Genomic DNA, 21,764 nt, shown 5'->3' on the forward strand with positions numbered 1-21,764 from the left:
TCCAAAATGTTTTAACAGTTAGTCAATTAGTTAATTAAAATTTTAATTGGCAAATAATTGTGCACATTACATATTTTGGGGTACAATGTGATGTTCTGATATACATTTACTTTGTGATTAAATATGCTAATGCACAAATTTATCACCTCATAAACTTGTCATTTTATGGTGAAAACATTCAGAATCTATTCTTTTAGTAATGTTGAAACACACAATGCAATATTATTTATTATTGTCACCATTGTGTGCAATAGATCACTGAAGCTTATTCCTCCTCTAACTGAAATGTTATAACTTTTGATCAACATCTCCTCTTTCCCATTTCATTGCTCACTCCACCCACCAGCTTCTGGTAACCACCAACCACATCCAGTGGACAGCAAGTTAAATAATAGGAAGTTAGAGAAAGCTGACAGTTACAAAGGATATGATGTTATTTAATTGTTCAGAATATACAAAATGTGTTTATTATAGGATACAGCCCCTTATGGAAAAATAAATGAGAGTGGGGAAATTTCAAAATCAGACAAAAGTAAAAAGTACTATGTTCACCAGAAGATGGAGAAGTCTGATAGGAAGACACTCAGAAAAGGTCAGTAAAAAACCTCTGAGAAAAAGAAAGTTGCAGGAAAGGTAAATCAATAATGCTGTTTGCTGAAATGCTACAAAATTATAGTACTTGTCTAAGGAAGTAGTTACTGGAAGCCATAGAGAGTGCACTTTCAGTATAGTTACAAGAAAAACCAAATTGCAGAGCTTAAGGGAATTGGTGAAGAACTGGTAGCAACAGATACAAAGATTTGACAGAACATCTAACTAAAGAAAAACTCTATTATGAATTGTATAAGTCATTGATGACTCAGAGCCAAGCAAGTTTATAATTACATTTTTGCTCAACTTCGATTTCTATGAAGAACATTTAAAATGAGTTCTGCTTTTTCATACAATTAGAATGTGGGCATTTTTCAATCGTTCTAAAATTTTCAGATTATTAGAACCACAAAGACAAGCATCCACCTTACCGGATATTATTGATTTTATATGCATTGCCTGGACTCTGAATTAGACCTTTTCTTTCTTTTCCCTGTCTCAGCAGGACAAATAAGAACATCTAGGCCAGGAGCGGTGGCTCACGCCTGAAATCCCAGTACTTTGGGAGGCTGAGGCGGGCGGATCACGAGGTCAGGAGATCGAGACCATCCTAGTTAACACGGTGAAACCCCATCTCTACTAAAAATACAAAAAATTAGCCGGGCGCGGTGGCGGGAGCCTGTGGTCCTAGCTACTCGGGAGCCCGAGGCAGGAGAATGGCGTGAACCAGGGAGGCGGAGCTTGCAGTGAGCCGAGATCGCGCCACTGCACTCCAGCCTGGGCACAGAGCGAGACTCCGTCAAAAAAAAGGAAGGGAGGAAGGGAGGAAGGGAAAGAAAGAAAGAAAGAAAGAGAGAGAGAGAGAGAGAGAGAGAGAGAGAGAGAGAGAGAGAGAGACAGAGAGAGAGACAGAGAAAGAGAGAAAGAGAGAAAGAAAGAAAGAACATCTGAGCACCAATACTGGGATATTGTAAGTTACCTCAGAAATAACATCCTTGGGTAAGGGGTGTGTGTGTGGTGGGGTGTGTGTGTGTGTGTGTGTGTGTGTGTGTGTGTGTGTGTGTGTTTTAGCAGAAAGAGAATCTTCTAAGTACAATGAAATGGGCTTCTATTTATCAGTACCTTTTTTCTTCTCTCTCTTTTAGTTCTGTTGCTTTCCAGGATATACACATGGCTTTAACAGAGTCTATTACTGGAATACGGAGAAGCTATTGAAGTAATCCTTCAAGGCATAAGGTCAGAACTTAGAGAAGTCACAGAGTTTGTATTTCTGAACCTGATTACCAGAAAATTCTTCTAAAGCAGGAAAAGATATATGCTTTCAAACTGTTATCCTACAACCAAATCCATTTTGGAGACACAAGGATCCACAAGATTACTCACCTTCAGGAAAACATGAAGACAAGAAATGCTAGTCTTGGTACAACCTAATGAAAAGACATAGCTGAGATTTCATATGAAGATAACATTGAGATTGCTTAGAAAAAAATTATTGGAGTTAACATTGAAAGTAACAATGGTATTTCTTGTCATCCCTTTCTAAATGGCATATATGGTATGTAATCTAGAAATATGTACATATACATGTAATAGCTTACAAAGCTTCCAATAAAAAAGACAAAATCTCTGGATTTTGCCATCTAACGAAAACAATGTAGTTACTATTAAAACTTGAATTTAACTTCTCAGAATAAACATACAGTCAAGGTTTTTGTTTATTTCTTTGTTTTTCCAACATGGTTGACTGACTTGGGATGCTAGTTCTCGGAAAGATCAAAGTTACAGGTGAATGGTAATGATCTGAATGAAACACAGTCAGATGAGAGCCAGGACCTGTCAGAGAACCCACAAGAAGAAGCTAGGGTACAGAAAAAGAAAGCAGGAAGAGTCTGGCAGAGATTGACCCCCAAGGAACTTAGAGACCCCAAAAAAGTATAGGTGGGGGTGCTTCTCTGTTCCCCTCACCCTGGCAACAACCTGCTAACCATCGAATTATTAGAGAGTCCTTCTACCCTCACAATCCTGGGCAATGATGTCCGTGGCAATTTGGAAAATTCCCAAAGACAGAAATCCATGTTGTTAACTCACACAGGGGTGCCCACACTCTTCTCAGGCCTGAACTGAGATGTCAAGTGCCGTACTAGTTGTGTACACATAGTGGGCCACTGCTGTGCCTGTAGAACCTCAGTCATTGAGTCACCACATCACAAGATCCCCTGCAAACATACCCCATAACCTGCTCTGACATCCACAATCAAAGGGAAACAGAGAGGATCCCTGAGGAACTGTGGATCCCTGGTAATCTAGCCCTCAGTGTGACCTACCCCTGGGGAATGGGGGTGCACAGACAGCCCTCCAAAGCCTGCCTTGAGAGAAAGGAAATGTAGTGTGACACAGATCACTGAAGGGAGTGGCACCGGCAGCCGGGAATGGATATGGAGAGGTAGTCATCTTCTGCTCCTCCCATCTACTCTTGCAGACACAGCAGAGGCTCTACCAGTTAAAGGCCAGCCCTTGTGAAATTGGTGTAAACTTTTCCAGTGGTTTTCACAACAGCTACACCTCCATTCAAAGTAAGCCCCTGCCACAGAGGCTTCCATGAAGAGTAAGACCCATCTCTCCCCTTCTATACAAAGAAATAGCATCCCAGCAACTGAAGGCAGACAAGCTACAAAGTTGTCTGTCATGAACTTGGGGAAGAGGATTTGCCCTGAGCCCATTTTGTTGGTAGCTGCCGGAGGGGCATACCCATGGTCTCCAGCTGCACTATGGCCAGGAGTCAAAGGACAATGTATATTTAAACTGAAGGTCATGAGCAAAATGCAACAGCGGCATGATAGGGAAGCAGATCACATTCCTGTCTGCCCAGGATGAGGACCTGGTATAGGCCTCCAACGCTCTTCCATTGAAACATTGCCACAGCCCAACAGGATCTCCACCAGCTACACCTGTCAGGGTGGGTGCCTCCAGTCATTACTGAGCTACCAGAGAATGAGCAGGCTCTTATGCTTAAGTGCCATCACTGGACTGGAGAGTAAAATAGAATACCTGTTCTCAGAAAGGCACAGGGCTAGTGAATAAGATAAGCTTCCTGAGACCTCTGTACTCTCAGCCTCGCAGGAGATAGTGTCAGCTGACACATCTAACACATCAAAACAACAGGCAACATTCAAGAAAACCACCATACAAAGATTACCCACAATCAAGGAACCCATAAAGAACTTTGGCACACTGAAAGCACCCCAAAACAAAGCATATCATACACATCATAACATAAATCACAGTAATCCTCTAAAGGAAAAATAAATGATAGAAAATTCAAAAATAAGAAGTGATATCTCCTTTAGATGAGAAAGAATCAATGCATGAACTCTAGCAGTACAAAAAGGTAGTAGAGTGTTTTGACATCTCTAAAGGATTGTACTTGCACTCTAACCATAGATTCTAACCAAAATGAAAATCCTGAAATGACAGATAAAGAATTCAAAATACAGAGTGCAAGGAATTTCAATCAGAAAAATGATGAAGGATATAAAAGGCAAAATAGCTATATTAGAAAATAGAACTTCATGTATTGAAAAAGTAACTAAAGGAATTTCAAAACATAGTTGAAAGCTTTAACAATACACTAGACCATTCAGAAGCCTGGTTTTTTTGAATTAACCCTGTCACACAAATATAAAGAAAAAATAATTTTTAAAAATGAACAAATCCTTCAAGAAATATTGGATAATGGAAAGCAACCAAACCTATACTTAGAGGAATTCTTGAGGAAGGAGAGAAAGAAAGAAACATGAAAAATATAATTGAGGAAATAATTGAGGAAAATTTTCCTCATCTTGTCAGAGAGGAGGACATCCAGATACAAACAATTTAGAGAATATCTGTAAGATATTATACAAATGAACATTACTAAGTCATAAATTTATCAGACTATCCAAGGTCAATACTAAAGAAAAAAATCTTAAACAGTAAGTATCAAACTATCTATAAAATGTAGTCCCATTAGACTAACAGTGGACTTCTCAGCAGCAACCTTACAAGCCAGAAGGAATTAGAGGTCTATTTTGAGCCTTCTTAAAGAAAATAATTTTATAATAAATGGCATCCAAAATTTTTATAACCTACTAAACTTAATTTCATAAACAAAGTAGAAAAAAAGTCATTCCCAGACAAGCAAGTGGTAAGGGAAATTTTCACCCATAGACTGGTCCTTCAAAAAATCCTTAAAGGACTTCTAAACATGCAAATGAAAGGACAATACTTGCTACCAGAAAAGCATATATAAGTACAAAGTTCACAGATCCCATAAAGCAATTACACAATTGAATATACAAAGTATCTAGCTAACAACAATATGACAGGAATAAAACCTCACATGTCAATATTAATCTTGAATGAAAATGGCCTAAATGCTCCACATAAAAGATATCATTTTGCAAATTGGATGAAAAAGCAAGACCCTACCATTTGCTGCCTTCAAGGGACTGACCTACTGTGTAATGATATCCACAGCCCCAAAGTAAAGGGTGGAGAATGATGTACTACACAAATAGAAAACAACAAAGATCAGGGGTGCTATTCTTGTATCAGATGAAACAGATATTAAATCAAGAAAGGTAAAAAAAAAGACAAAGAAAGATACAATTCAACAAGATTTAACTGTCCTAAATATATGCACCCAACACCATAGCACCCAGATTAATAAAAACAACTAGACCTAAGAAAAGAAACAAGTCATACAATAACAGCTGAAGTATTTAACAACTATTAGTTATATAATCTGTCTGGTGACAGCACCAGATAGATTATCAAGGCAAAAGAAAACCAACAAAGTAACTCCAGACTTAAATGGAACTCTTGATCAAATGGATGTAATAGACATCTACAGAACATACCATGCAACAACCACAGAGTATACATTTTTCACATCTGTGCATGGAACGTTCTCTAAAATTAACCAAATACTTGGACTTAAGGCAAGTCTCAATAATTTCAAAAAAATCAAAATTATGCCAGTTATCTTCTCAGATGACAGAGGAAATAACATTAGAAATATATATCAGCCGGGTGCAGTGGCTCATGCTGGTAATCCTAGCAGTTTGGGAGGCTGAGGTGGGTGGATCATTTGAGGTCAGGAGTTCAAGACCCACAAGGCCAACATGGTAAAACCCCATCTCTATTAAAAATACAAAAATTAGCTGGGTGTTAGTGGGGCATGCCTGTAATCCCAGCTACTCAGGAAACTGAGGCAGGAAAATCGCTTGAATCTGGGAGGCAGAGGTTGCAGTGAGCTGAGATAGCACCACTACACTTCAGTCTGGGTGACAGAGTAAGACCCTGTCTCAAAAAAAAAAAAAAATACATATCAGGAGAAACTCTCAAAACCACACAAGTACATGGAATCTGAACAACTTGCTACTGAATGATTTTAGGCTAAACAAGAAAATTAAGGCAGACATAAGAAAAAGTTGAAATAAATAAAAATAGAAATATAACTCACCAAAACTCTGGGATACAATGAAAGCAGTGTTAAGAGGAAAGTTTAAAGCACTAAATGCCTACATAAAAAGATAAAAATATCTTAAATTAATAATCCAATATCATACATCAAGGAACTAGGAACATAAGAACAAACCAAATGTAAAGCTAGAAGAAGAAATAACAAAAATCAGAGCAGAACTAAATGGAGTTGAGACTGTAAAAACCAAACAAGAGATTAACAAAGCAAAAGTTGTGTCTTTGAAAGGATAAATAAAATTGATAAGACTGCTATTTAAGTTAATTAAGGAACAAAAAGAGAAGATTCTAATACGCACAATCAGAAATAATAAAAATGTGGCATTACAACCGATACCACAGAAATACAAAATATATTCAGAGTAGTCTATGTAAATTCTCAGAGAGTAATCATGGTAGACTATGAATATCTCTGTGATCAAAAACGAGAAAACCTAGAAGAAATGAATAAATCCCTGGAAACATATAACCAGCCAAGATTGAACCAGGAGGAAATTGAAATCCTGAAGAGACATATAATGAGTTATGAAATTGAATTAGTAATAAAAAATCCATTTTCCAAAAAAAGCCAGGACCAAACAGATTAACAGCCAAACTTTACCAGACATAGAAAGAGCTAGTACCCATCTTGTATAAACTAATAAAAATATTAAGGAGGAATGACTCCTCTCTAACTCATTCTATGAAACCAGTATCATCCTGATACCAAAACCTAGCACTGAACACATACACACAAAGAAAACTACAGGCCAATATCCCTGATGAATAGACACAAAAATCTGCAACAAAATGCTAGTGAACCAAATCCAGCAGTTCATCAGAAAGATAATTTGTCACAGTCAAGTGGATTTTATTCCAGGGATGCACAAATAGTTAAACATATGCAAATCAATAAATGTGATTCACCACAGAAACAATTTTAAAAACAGTAGCCATATGATCATCTCAATACCTGCAGAAAAAACATTCAATAATATCCAATATGTCTGTATGATAAAAACCCTCAACAAACTAGGCATTGAAAAAAACATACTGCAAAATAATAAGAGCCGTCTATGACAAACCCACAACTAATATCATACTGAATGGGAACTGTAACAAGACAAGGATGGCCACTCTCAGCAATCAGGCAAGGAAAATAAATAAATGTCTTCCATATTGAAAAAGAGGAAGTCAAATTATCTCTGTTTGCTAATGACAATCTTACACCTAGACAACCTTGATATTTCCTCCAAAAGATTCTTTTACCTGATAAACTACTTCAGTAAGATTTCAGGATACAAAATAAATGCTTGAAAATCAGTTTCATTTACATAGATCGACAACACTCAAACTGAGAACCAAATAAAAATCTCAATTTCATTTATAATAGACACAAAAAATAAAATATCTAGAAATATATTTAACAAAGGAGACCAATGAGGTAAAAGATGTCCACAACAAGAACTATAAAACACTGCTGAAAGAAATACTACATGACAGAAGCAAGTGGAAAAATATCCCATGATCATTGTTTGGAAGAATCAACATCATTAAAATGACTGTACTGCCCAAAGCGAGCTACATAGTCAATATAATTTCTATCATAGTACCAAATTTATTACTCATAAAATTATAAAAAAAAATTCTAAAATACATATGGAACCAAAAAAAGAGCCTTAATAGCCAAAGCAATCCTAAGAAGAAAGATGAAGTTGGGGGCATCACATTATCTGACTTTATACTATAAGGCTATAATAAAAAACAAACAAAACTCAGCATGGCATTGGCATAAAGATGGACACATAGATCTATGGACACAATAGGGAAACTAGAAAATAAAATCACATGTGTATAACCACGGTTCTTCAACAAAGCTGACAAAATTAAACATTGGGGAAAGGTCACCCTATTCAATAAATGGTGCTAGGAAAACTTGCTTGCTAAATGCAGAAGAAAGAAACTTCACTCCTATCTCTCACCATATGCAAAAATTAACTCGATGAATTGAAAATTTAAATTTAAGACCTAAAACTATAGAGATCATAGAATAAAACCTAGGAAAACCTCTTTAGACATTGGCCTAGGCAAATAATTTATAAATAATACCTCAAAAGCAAATGCAACATAAACAAAAGTAGACAAATGGGACTTAATTAAGCCAAAGAGTTTCTGCACAGCAAAAGAAACAATTATTAGAATAAACAGACAACCTATAGTATGGGAGAAAATATTTGCAAGTAATATATCTGACAAAAGATTTATGTCCGAAATCTATAAGAAAAACAAATCAACAAGAACAAAACATATAACTCCATTAATAAGTGAGGAAAGAATGTAAACAGACACTTCCCAAAAGAAGAAATGGAAGTGACCAACAAACATATGAAAAAACATTCAACCTCACTAATCATTAGAGAAATGCAAGTTACAACAAAAATGAGACACCATTTCATCCCAGTCCATTTGTACTTTTTATTATCATATATATCCTCAAATTCAAAACAAAATAAACCACAACATAAACTGTGTTAGTATAGTACATTAAAGTCAGCTCCACTGTGCTGTATCACTTGGCAAGTCTGAAATTCCAATGGGCTTCAGAAAGTTGACTATGCAATGCCCAATAATGACCTGATAATCTCATATTAGAGGCAATGCAAATATATTTATAAGACTAAGAGCTACAACAAGCTTACGAAGAAAACCAATTTATAGCATTACAGGTTAAACCAGAAGTGATTTCCTCTGTTAACTAAAATTACATTACTAAAAAGTGCATGGTTCGTGGATGTCTAATGTGAAAAAAGACAGACAGTGAATACTTTCCTGCTCAGTGTGAACACTTAATAAGAATGAAAATAGAATGCCTTATTATATAAAGTAATACCAATACATTGATTTCCAATCTACTCCTCTGGCACAATTTAAAATGAGCTCTTGAACTATAGAGTCACAACTCTTTTTCATTTCAATGTGTTTTCCTTCAAAATAGCAGTTATTTATACATACTGCTTTTAAAAATCATTTTTAGGCTGCAGATTCACAATCTCCATAAATATCAAAGATGTGAAGTTAAGTTCAGATGCACTTGAAGTAAACACCATGCTAACTAGCAGCAGTGTTCAAGAGATCATGCTGCCGATCTTATGAAAGGGAATATACTATTGTGAATTATTTTGCAAATCCCAAAAGAAGTTTATCTCTCACATTATTGAAGACTGAGAATGTCTTAATATATGCACAACTTGAACATTGTTTGTGAAAAAGCCAGACTAATTCATCTATCTTCTGATCAATCAGTTTAGCCAAGCAAAGCACAAAATAAATGCACATCCTTTGCTGCCGTTAAGAGCAACCAGTTTGCTTGTCTGTGCATCATGAATGCCAAACAAATCTTGAATAAGAACGAGGAAAAGTTAAAAGAAAAGAAAGACAGGAAAGAAATAAAACTCAATTTTCTTGAATAGGAAATTTCTAGGGAGGAAACATTTTCCATTTTTGTCTTCTATCAAATTTATATATATATAAATATATATATAACATATTATATATATCCTAACTGTCATTATAGGCTATTCTAAGACAGATTCTGCCAATATTGAAATATCTAAGACAGGCACAATTGGGCCATTGCAAACATCATGTACTAAATGGATTCTAAGGAACCTGAAAATTAATGAATCTTTCTAAAATGACTGACTTACTGTTAGGGGAAAGCTTAAGAAATCAAATACCAAATCAAATACCAAAATACCAAATCTTTTTTCATTTTTCTATTCTTCCCAAAAAAAAAAAATAGTGGGGGATAAAATAACGCAATGCCCAGTTAAAGTGCCAACACCAAAACAACTTATGGCTGCTACTTCTGACCCTTTCAGGGGGTCAAATTTTGTTGTCTTTTGTATTTCTAGCTTTGTTTGAGACCTTTGTTTGCATATATTCAAAGGTTAGTAAATACAATTTAATATTGTTTCCACAGAAATTAAGCATTTACCTAGTTAGAATAAGCATTCAAACAGAGGTCTTGCATTAAATTTTGTACTAAACTGTATTCCTTCTACCATGCTGCAATCTTTATTAAGAAACAAAGGACATCTGATTTCACTTTTCTAAGCTTATTTTAGTTAAGGTTAATTATTACACAGAGATACTAACCTTTCAATCATAAACTACAAATTAGCATTATTCATCTCTGTGGTATATTTTCAATGTAATAATAAAAATCCTGGCTCGCTCTAAAGGTCAAGCTAAAAGCAACCTTACCATCATCATACTGGCCCAAGCAGATTTCAAAGAGAGAGCCCAGGATGATCCCTGAAGCTAAACATGTCCAGAGATAAAACTGTCGAAACATCTTCTGTCAAAGTTCACTCAAAGCTGATCTGAAATAAGAAAAGGTAGAAAGAAACATTTGACATGTTCATTAATCTGTTATAGGTAAACACAATTGTCACAGCACAGAAAAGCCTTAATGACTTCATAGTTAATTACCTGTGCCACATTATCCATTAACAAAGTAACACACTGGTTTAATGCACTGGAACTGTTTATCAACATAAATTTGCAGACAAGTAATCTCTAAGGAAAGACATCTTTTCTGTTATTTAATTTGCCAGCAAGTAGGTTGAGAAGTTAACATACTAATAATATCAGAAGCACACTCTTTAAAATTTAAGACATTATGGGTAAGTCCAATGTTAATCAGTTTAAGTTACTAAACTTATGTTGTCTACAGCATAATTTTACAACAAAGTGTAAGATAGTAAGCCAGTTGTTAGTATCCTACATGAGCATTTCAATGAAAATTTGTCTTATACAATTAAGTAGAAAAGCCCATCATTAAAATGTTAATTCCTTTCTAGTAGAGTGATCAGAGATTGACTTAACTATGCCAGGAAAGACTAAGGAAAATCTGTCAATTTTCACTACATCTGCTTTATGAAGCATTTGGATGCATTTCATTTTAATTCTCTTGTTTTACTTTTCAATCCCCAGCAAGTTAAAAAAAAAAAAAAAAGAAAGAAAACAACTGATTGAGAAATTAGTGGCCTGTGAGCACATGAGAATGTCTTATTGAAAGAATGACATCCTCAGTTTCTTTGTAAATTTAGGAAATTATCCACACAGAATTGTTCAAAATGCTCTTGATTATAAATTGTGGCAGACTAGGGATTGGAACACTGTTTCTCTAATTCAGAGGTTCCAAACTCAAATGCCTACAGAGGACAAGCAGACAAAGGAAAAGAATGAATTAGCCAAAGGGGACAATAGTGATGGTAGAGGCTGTGATAAACTGTGCAATGCAAGGTTTTCTAAAGAGACCAGCTGGTGCTCAACTTCTGTCAGTGGTTGTGATGTGGCAATGCAAGCCAGTGTTTCTGGGTCTTCTGATTTTCAAAGAGAAGGCAGAAATCCAAATTTTCATGTGATTTCCAAGTGTTTACATGATTGTGCAATCTTCTTTATAAGACTAAATGCTTCTAGCAGGTAATATTGATGTCTCAAGTTCTCCAGTTTTCTATTTCTGCCCAGGATTCTCTCTACTAGACTAGCTGAGGATAAGGTTTATCAGAGGGTACAAAGGCACGATTTTAATTCTGCTTTTGTCTACATTTTATTTTTGATTTATTGCCAAGTATTTAATAATGTTTATTTGTCCAGCAGCATGTATAAATATATATATTGCATTGTAAAATTGTATTAAAGGTGTAAGCTCTTTTTTTAAACTAATGGGATACACAGTTCTTGACTTTAAAAGATCACTGCTCTAGATCACACACATTTTAATATGAAGTCTATTCTTCTTTGTTTCTTTATCTAAGATATAAAAGGAGCTGCCTTCTTTTTAACTGGGCCTTCCACATTTTTTCCTAACTGGCAAAGTGCTTGGCGCGTGCATTTATAATTTCTAGGGACAGAAAGCCCAAAGAAGAGCTCATTATTAGATGCCAAGAGATCATCACAATCCACACTAACCTGTAGAAAAAAGAAAAATAAAATTGACCAATGCTACTGGTTGTGTAGAGCAGCGGATAAGAATGTGGCTTTTTTTTTAAATTCAAGCTTTTCAGCTTACTAGTTATATGACTTTGAAGAAATTAAATAGCATCTTTGTCTCACATTTCTCATTATCATAATGGATATAAAATAGTATTTACCTCATAAGATTGTCTTAAACATTAAATACGTAAGGGAATATAAATACGTGCTTAATGCAGTGTACTTACAGAATGAGTACCCCCTAAAGCTTAATATGAGTACCCCCTAAAGCTTAATATAAAAGACTCAGCATCTATGGAACCTCCAAAGTCTTAAATACAGATTTACTCAATCTATCTTTAGCAAGGGCTGGAAAGTAGATATTATTATCCCCATTTTGTGGAGGAAAGGTCAGGCTCAGAGAGAATAAGTGACTGGCTCAAGGTTATAAACTGGTGAGTGTCTGAAGAGACCATAAAGTCTGTGAGTAAGACACTTCTGCTCATTCCATTAGAGAAAAGTATTGGAAAAATTCCCAGAAAACACAGGGCTCAGAAGTTTTCAAGGCATATGGAGGCCCAGGAGAGCCTGCTGTATTGCTTCCCTTAAACTCTGAGAGAGACATTCTAACCCCCTTCACAAAGGATTAGAGCTCTACTAAGATTTCTATATACAATGGCTTCAAATCTTTTTTTATTTGGAAAAACAAACATGACATTAAGAAATAAAACAATGTTATTTAAATTTTAAAAATATAAAGAGAAACCATATACAAATACAAACCAGAAAGGATATATATTGGAAAACAAAATTAATACAAACCAGAAAAGATATGTATTAGAAAACAAAATTAAAGAGACGGTAATATCTTAGCAAAGGACAAAAGGACATAGTTGTGTTCCTGTGTGGGTCCTTGATCTGCCAGCTTGACTTCCTTTATAGTAGTTTATAGTATTATGCATTCACAAATTATGGCATATTCTTTTATTCCTAACTGAAGCTAATTTGGTTTCATGGAACAGTCTCCAATATAAAAACAACATGATGGATCATTATTTTAAAATCATTAATGTCACTGCCATTATTATGCCTCCAGAAACAAAACCTCTTGATCTATGGCTCTGCAAGTTTTTAGAGGATTATATGCATATTTCTGAAAGCATCACAGACAAAACTCATAAAAAATCTATTTAGAATAGATATAGCATTTACTGCCCAGAGGAAGGAGATAATTTTAGGGGAAATATTATACTTATTTGTCTTTGAATAATGATAATAATAACAATTTCTATAGTTTTTTTACTCTTTCATCTATATCTGCCTGATTTCCAAAGAAATTTTCATCACTTCAATGGGCTCAATATTTACAGAGACCTGAAAGAAAGCTATGACTCATCACATCAACCCGATACCCCAAAACACAGAACACATATTGACTTAGTGAGAAAACCCAGTTTCTAAACAAAGATATAATGAAAAGGTACCTCCCACAAAGAGATTGTGTAAATGACTACAGGACCAAGATGTTTAGTACAATATTGTGCCAATCAACTGACAGCCTATAGTGGCACTTCTGTGATTGTGATCAAATTAATTGGAAGAGATCAAATGCTTTAGACAAAAGACTGTTTTTGTTACTAGCTTTTTAATCTCTAGAATTAAAAGAGAAAGTCCTATAGGAGATGAATTCCATAATCTTGCTAAGTGACTGTAGGTAAATGAAAAGCCTGTCAAACAACACCTCTATGGTGGTACTTTACTTTTACTACAAATCCCACATCAAACTCTTTCCATGTTCCCCGAGTATATATTTTTCCTACAGAATTTATTGGCTAATAATGTTATGTTCTAAAAATCCAAAGCATGTTCAATTCTAAAAAGAATTGTAGGTGACCTATAAATAAATATGTTATACTTGTTTTTTAAGAGATAATTAAATTGGTGTATTCAGTACTCTAATATAGCTAATAAAGTTATCATTTTGCAATCGTGACTTAGAAATAGTATTCTGTTGTCAAAATACTGGGGAAAAGTGTTTTTTTCCTATTACAGTATAATATTACACGTAAGTGGTTTGCATTCCATGTGCATTTTATGACACAATTTCCTTAGGCTTAAGAATATTTTACTGCAATTATTCAAGACAAACATACTAATTTTGAATTTCACATCATTTGTATTTCCTGCAAGATAAATCTCATATTTATTTATCTGGCATTCAATGTTCTCAAAAATTAATTTATTCAACAAGTACTTATGGAGGGTCTACTAGATACCACTCACTCTTCTAGGCAGTTGGAAAATATCAGTGAACAAAGCTGACACATTTCTTTTCTCCCATGGATGTTATATTCCAGCAAAATAAAGATAGACCAATAACAAACATAAATAAGTTATATAAAATGTTAAAATGTAATAAGTGACATGAAAATAGCAGCTAGCATTTCAAAACTGTATATTGTCACTTTACAATAATTTTCATTCAGTAAATGAAGTGAGATTACACAAAGCAACCAAAATGCTATCCGATAAAATAACTGAATGAGAACTTTACAATGAAAGTATAACTATTCCGACAACCCTGACAGCATCCTTGATGGTATCTACTATTCTGAGTACAGATTTCTGTCCATCTCTTGGAAGGAGAATAAAGGTCTTTCACTGCCTTTCACTTTCAAATATAAATCCAAAGTCTGGAAATACACAAAGGTCTGTCCTTTTTCTGTTTATCCCTGCTCCCTGAGTCTTGGGTGTTTGCAGTGACACATGGCAAAAGCAGCCAAGGTTGACACCACAGCAGTTTTCTCTTAAATACAATTTTGACAATGTTAACTATTTTTTAGCCTATGTCTCTGACTGCTATGTGAATAAACACTAACTTTCTTGAGATACCAAAACTTGGAACACACCGTCATTACTTTGATGAGAAACCCCATACCAATACACAACCATGAAGCAAGCTGGAGTCTCACAGTGAAGTGAGCTGTATGTATGCAGTCTGCCCTTCAACAGTTGGTTCAGCCAAATTACTGTTATTCTTGATCTGTAACAATATCTAGATAAAGCTACAAAACTAAAACTTGTCACTGCTTTGTATTCCTTGTGAGAAACGTATGCTATCTACCTGCTGGAATAAAGCAAACTTCCCTTCAAAGCAACCTCAGCTTCAAACTAAAAACATGAGGTTTTCCAAAGTCACTGTATCTTACCATACTAAATATCAATTTGCTTAAATGACTAGAGAGAAACCTGTCTTCTACCTCAGCATGGTGGTAAATATTAATAATGTCTTCATCAGTACAGAGGGTACTTATCACCCTTCAGCATTACCAGATGAATCAGCTGTTCCTTTTTTAAAATGTGTAATATGAAGTTTAGGAAAATAAAATTTCAGAGAGCCTTTCAGATATATTCCTTCCTTCTAGATCATATTATATTTTTCTTTACTAAATATACATATGTATAAGTTTATATCATATATTCATCTATAAAAATATATTGATATTTATTGACAATTTTATAGTACATTTATACATATTTATATATAAAATTATGTTACATAGTCACATATACAATTTATATAAAGAAGTATATATTTTATTTAAATTTACATTAATGATAGGTAATATCAATGATATTGATATTATCGCCCACTTTTTTAAAGTTTGCAATTTAAATTCAAGGGGTTCCGTTGTAGCTAATTTGAGGTAAGTTTGGAAAGTAACTAATGTTTTTATAGGACACTGTGAGGTCCAACCTACCTCTCCCACCCGGTCCTGCTAAATTCGGCTTACTAGATCTTTGCTCGGGCTTACAGTTTTTTTTAACATGCTACTACATCTGAATGTGTCTTGACTACCAAATTTAAAATATGTGCTAATTTGGCCAGGCGCGGTGGATCACACCTGCAATCCTAGCACTTTGGGAGGTTGGGGAGCATAGATAACTCGAGATCAGGAGTTCCAGACCAGCCTGGCAAACTTGGTGAAACCCCATCTCTACTAAAAATATAAAATATTAGCTGGGTGTGGTGGTGCACACCTGTAATCTCAGTTACTCAGGAGGCTGAGGTAGAAGAATCGCTTGAACCCAGGAAGCAGAGGTTGCAGTGGGTTGAGATTGCACCACTGCACTTCAGCCTGAGCGACAGAGCAAGACAGATTCCATTTCAAATAAAAAGAAAATGTTAATTTGCTTTTTGGGTGCACTCTGTCTCAACATATAGATTCATCCTAAACATTGTGGGATAAAATAAAATTGATGAAAATCATTTTTAAAATTAAGAATATAAATTATTAAGAACTAATCTTGCTATCACTTCAATCATTTACAAGGTCTTTCATTTCAGTTTTAAACATTTTAAATATATAATCAACAGTTGTAAACATTAGATGAGACTAATTTAACCCAAAATATATTTCCCGAAACCACATGAAACACATAAGGTAAGTCCAAGCTCTGGCATTCTTATACTACAGCTATGGTGAATTCTTGGAGAATTCAAATCAGTGTCTTAACATGTCTGTTGAGTCTATTCATTATTAAATTCTGGTTTTAATAATAGAACTTTAAATAAAAGAGGGAAGAACACTGGTTTTCTTTTTGGGGAATACTACTTCTCAAGAAAATAAATGACTGACCAATATAATTAATCTGCTTATGTTTAAAGATTGTGTCTTCATGGAAAAAAACTAATATTCAGTTTAGTCTATAATAGATACATGCCAAATGTTATAATAATGTAGTCATACTAGTTGGTTTAATAAAATATAAATACACCAAAAATGTTTTTAAATGAGTGGAAATTTAATCTCCATGTTTACTATTGCTATTATATTGGATATTTTCTTAGTGTTTATACATACATTTACTCAATTAGTATTTATTTTATATTTAGTGCATATCAGACACTAAGCTTCTACTATAGAAATAAATTATTCCATTTCCTCACAATGACTTTGCTATTGAGCATGCACTACATTTCATATTTTTTTACCTAATATACATTTCAAGGTACTTTAGTAAAATAACTCCAAATTAGGAGATAAATAAGTTTTAATTGCCAATTTTTTTGAGGTTTCCATTCCATCTATGTTTTCAGAACCTTCATCTAAATCTCAGTCTTTTAGATAAATACATTTCTCACTATTTGTTAGAAAAGTCATGGGAAAAAGCTTAGTTTGAAAGGAGCAAGCAAAGGGAAATATAAAAAGAGAAGCCCAAACATTATTTCATCAGTGGAGTGTTTAGCTTAAAAATATAACCAAGTAAATTTAAAATGGAGTTTTAATGCTCAAGCAAACGCATGCATCATTTTAAAAAAGAAGCTTGAAAGAGAGTTCTGTGCAGTGTTATTACCTGGCACAGAAAAATGATTCTGATTAATATTCTTGTTTGATGAATATTATAGATTCTAAGAAACACAAATAAATTAATGAGTAAATGAGTATTTTCCTAAGGCAAATCCATCAGCAAAAAAAATCCAAAAGTATTAAGTCAGTCAACAGAGACTAAACGTAAAAGTATGAAAATGTCAGTGACTTGTATAATGTAATATAATAAAAGTCCTGGCTCTGGCATGAGAGAGTCTTGCATTGCATTCCTAGTTATGTTGCTTTTGGAGGGCTATATAAGGGTAAACTAGTTAAAACTTGTGAGAATCAGTTTAAAATTAGGACAATAAAATCCATTTTATTCTTCTGTAATTGACAGATGAAAATTTGAACAAAAAATAAAAGTTAAGAATATTCATTTGTTCATTTATAGCATAAGTGTTTACTGAGCACTGATTCTGGATAATGCACTTTATAAGATGCAGTGGCTACAGCTTTATGAGAAAAACTAAATGAATTAATAATAAATACATAATAGTCCATATAGAGTTTTCAGTCTAACAGAGTGTGACAGTCACACCTAAAGTAGCTCATAATGAATCAAATCCTCGTATAATACTATTCTATAGATCAGGGGTTCAGTACTGGTCCATGGCCTGTTAGGAACCAGGCCACAGAGCAGGAGGTGAGTGGTGGGTGAGCAAGCAAAGTTTCATCTGTATTTACAGCCCCTCCCCATCATTCGCATTACCGCCTGAGCTCCGCCTCCTGTCAGATCAGCAGCAGCATTGGATTCTCATAGGAGGGCAATCTCTATTGTGAACTGCACATACAAGGGTTCCAGGTTGCATGTTCCTTACGAGAATCTAATGTCTGATGATTGATCTGTCATTGTCTCTCATTATTCCCAGATGGGATCATCTAGTTGCAAGAAAACAAGTTCAGAGCTCCCACTGATTTTACATTATGGTGAGTTGTATGATTATATCATTATATATTATAATATAATAATAATAGAAATAGAGTGTATAATAAATGGAATGCACCTAAATCATCCCAAACCACTCTCCTGCTCCCAGCCCCAGGTCGGTGGAAATTTATTTTTCATGAAACCAGTCCCTGGTGCCACAAACTTGGGGACCATTGCCATAGATAGTGGAATCTATGACTTGCTTCTAATGTGTAGAATATGATAAAGGTAACAAGATATCACTTTATTGTTTCAATTAAGTTATATAAGATTCAGTCTTAGCACATTGGAGAAAGATAAATCTTCCTGCTCTGTGTAAAGAAGCAAACGTATTGTAAACTGCCTTTGGAGAAGGACATATGCCAGGGAACTCCAGGTGACTTCTTGGACCAGAGGATGGCCTCCAGACAACAGCCCTCAGTCATATAACCAAAAAGAAATGAATTCTGCCAACAATCTAAATGAGCTTTGTAAAACAATTGCATTCCATATTGTTAATTATATTTTGAAAAGAAATGTAATTTAAATACTAAATAATGAGATTTTATTTTATATATGATCAATTATATACAATAAATTATTTTCTTATAAATCTAGTTACAACTTTTCTGTTTCTTATATTGAACAAATTTTGAGCTATAACTCAGTCATATTACTTTACTTGCTTTTGCCATTACCATAGCTTGGTAGGAAATAAGGTTTTAAATAATAGTCTTTTAAGTAGGTGACAGATTTAGAATAAAAGATTCATAACAGTTCTAATTTTAAAAAATGACTTCACATGTTTAATGACATAGCAAACAGGTAGTATCTACATTCCTAATTTTTTTTCTTAAATCTGCTTGCATTTAAACAATGTAAAATTAATTGGTAAAGCATGTCATTTAAAAAAAAAATTAAATTAAAGTTCTGGGATACATGTCCAGAATGTGTAGGTTTGTTACGTGGGTATACACGTGCCATGGTGGTTTGCTGCACCGACCAACCCGTCATCTACATTAGGTATTTCTCCTAATGCTATCCCTCCCCTAACCTCCCCACCCCCGCGACAGGCCCCAGTGTGTGATGTTCCCCTCTCTGTGTCCATGTGTTTTCATTGTTCAGCTCCCACTTACGAGTGAGAATATGCGGTGCTTGGTTTTTCTGTTCTTGTGTTAGTTTGCTGAAAATGATGGTTTCCAGCTTCATCCAAGCATGTCATTTTTATTAGATATAGTTGGTAATAGAAGGAAACATATAACTTTTTTTTGTTGTTTGTTTGTTTTGAGATGGAGTTTTGCTCTTGTTGCCCAGGCTGGAGTGCAATGGCATGATCTCGGCTCACTGCGACCTCCTCCTCCTGGGTTCAAGCGATTTTCCTGCCTCAGCCTCCCGAGTAGCTGGGATTATAGGCATGTGCCACCACGCACGGCTAATTTTGTATTTTTAATAGAGACAGGGTTTCTCCGTGTTGGTCAGGCTGGTCTGGAACTCCCGACCTCAGATGATCTGCCCTCCTTGGCCTCCCAAAGTGCTAGGATTACAGGTGTGAGCCACTGTGCCCGGCCAACATATAACTTTTAATAGTTATTTAAATATTAATATGTATGTAATGGATACTAGAGTAAATACTGATTGGGAAATACAAACTGTCATTAATAAAATATTTGTTTTCTATATAGCTTTAATATGTACTTTTTAACATGTACTTACAACATTTATTTAACACGAATAGAGTAGAAAATGTGTACTTTAATACTTTGCCAGGTGACATGTTTAAGTAGAATGAATAAAACTAGGTTTATCCTCCATTGCCCCTCTTCTTATCAGAGGGGTCATATTTCATATGTCATATCTTTTCTACACTTTATTTTCTACTTCACATTATATGAAGTCTAACCAGAGATCATAAAGTTTCATACTATATCAATGCAGAGGCAGAATCAACATTCTATACATATAACTTTTTACTTTCTTTGCAGGATTTTTTAGGTAAGGTCTTCGGCCAACTGAACTGCAACTGTTTCATTTACAATAATTTTAAAACAGTAAAATTCTCTCAAGAACTAAGTTTGTACATTTGATGTTGATAAAAATAATGCTAATGGTGAATATTTTTTGAGTATGATAGATGTTGATATTATTGAAATCATTAGATATGCTTTAATAACTTTAAAACCAAATGGTAGACTGTTCCATTTCATTTCTCTTTGTACTTTACCAATTTATACTATGAAAATCATGTATGAAATGTATAGTCTAGAACGTTTGCAGAAATATCATCTCAAAAACAGTAACTCAAAGTCTAATACAGAAAGACATCCATATAAGGAAGCATTTCACAAATATTTCTAAGCTTTGATTTGATATATATTAAGCTTTTACCATTTATCTTATAAATCTACATGGTTAAAGAAATGATCAACCTTCTCAACTGGCACAATGTGAAGATGGATAATTTGACTTAGAAAAATAACTAATTGTGTAGTCATGTAAGCCCTTCATTTATGACACAAATCCATAAAGGTCACTGTCATATTTCTTAGAGACTGGATTTTAATGTAAAGCTGAGTTTTATTTTTCTAGGAAACTGTAACTTTTATTGAAAATAGTTCATGTATAAGCAGATTTATGGAATTCAAACTCATGTTGTCCAAGGGTCAATTGTGTGTAATTTTATAATTGTAAAACTCTGTCTTATCTGTAAATGATAAGATATTACAATTAGTTGGTTCTTTATGTTTGAGGGGCAAATAAAATTTGAATAAGTTGTCTTACTCACAAAGACTATGCTTCACGAATAATACACTAAGAACTTTAGTCTCTTCCTACAAATACCTAATTTTATAGTGTATCCTGGCATTTCAAAATTACCAAACTGAAAAGTAGTCGTTCTCTCTCTTAGTGTCAATGCTAATTGTATGGTACGTTCATTACTAGAGTACATTTTTTCTAACTTAAATTTTTAAATTTATTACATTAAATATTAGATTATGCTATTATATAGTAAATTCAAACTGCCTGTATAATATTGTATCCTATTAAAATGATACAGACATTAAATTTTATGGGCATTCTAATGATTGTTTTCCATTTTTCCATACTTTTAAAATAAGTTGTTATATGTCCCTTGGGGATGGGGATTATTTTAGGAATACTTTACTACTTATTAATTTTCCAAAAGTCAATAATGAAAAATATTTACTTCCCAACACACCCTGGCAAGATATTTTATAAGTGAAAGACATAATTTCATTCTGACCTTTTTAATTCTAAGGCCTTTTCATGTTGTTTTTTTTTTTTTTTTCAATCTGATCTAATTTTTAACTCTCTCTATTTATTACCATAACCAAATTTCATTTTACTTTATTTTTAGCTAGTTATTTCTGCCTAGGCATTTTCTCCTTTTT

The 21,764-nt window shown here is 34.1% G+C and overlaps 1 protein-coding gene and 1 long non-coding RNA gene across 21 annotated transcripts in view; one reads left to right on the top strand and one right to left on the bottom strand.

Moving 5' to 3' along the window:
• LOC105378311 (uncharacterized) overlaps positions 1 to 2,236 on the top strand; it is a 169,822-nt gene extending 167,586 nt beyond the window's left edge. The window contains exons 5-6 of the long non-coding RNA NR_134503.1: positions 1,097 to 1,213; positions 1,737 to 2,236. This is a non-coding gene — a long non-coding RNA (uncharacterized LOC105378311). The remainder of the gene's footprint in view (positions 1 to 1,096; positions 1,214 to 1,736) is intronic.
• Positions 1 to 21,764, bottom strand: part of PCDH15 (protocadherin related 15) — a 1,825,172-nt gene that overhangs the window by 851,045 nt on the left and 952,363 nt on the right. For all 20 annotated transcript variants that reach the window (XM_047425663.1, NM_001354420.2, NM_001354429.2 and 17 more), the window contains one exon: positions 10,357 to 10,475. In XM_047425663.1, the coding sequence (XP_047281619.1) occupies positions 10,357 to 10,447 (91 nt within the window). In that variant the 5' untranslated portion in view covers positions 10,448 to 10,475. The remainder of the gene's footprint in view (positions 1 to 10,356; positions 10,476 to 21,764) is intronic.

This window comes from Homo sapiens, chromosome 10 (genome assembly GCF_000001405.40).
Source record: "Homo sapiens chromosome 10, GRCh38.p14 Primary Assembly".
Taxonomy (NCBI): Eukaryota; Metazoa; Chordata; class Mammalia; order Primates; family Hominidae; genus Homo; species Homo sapiens.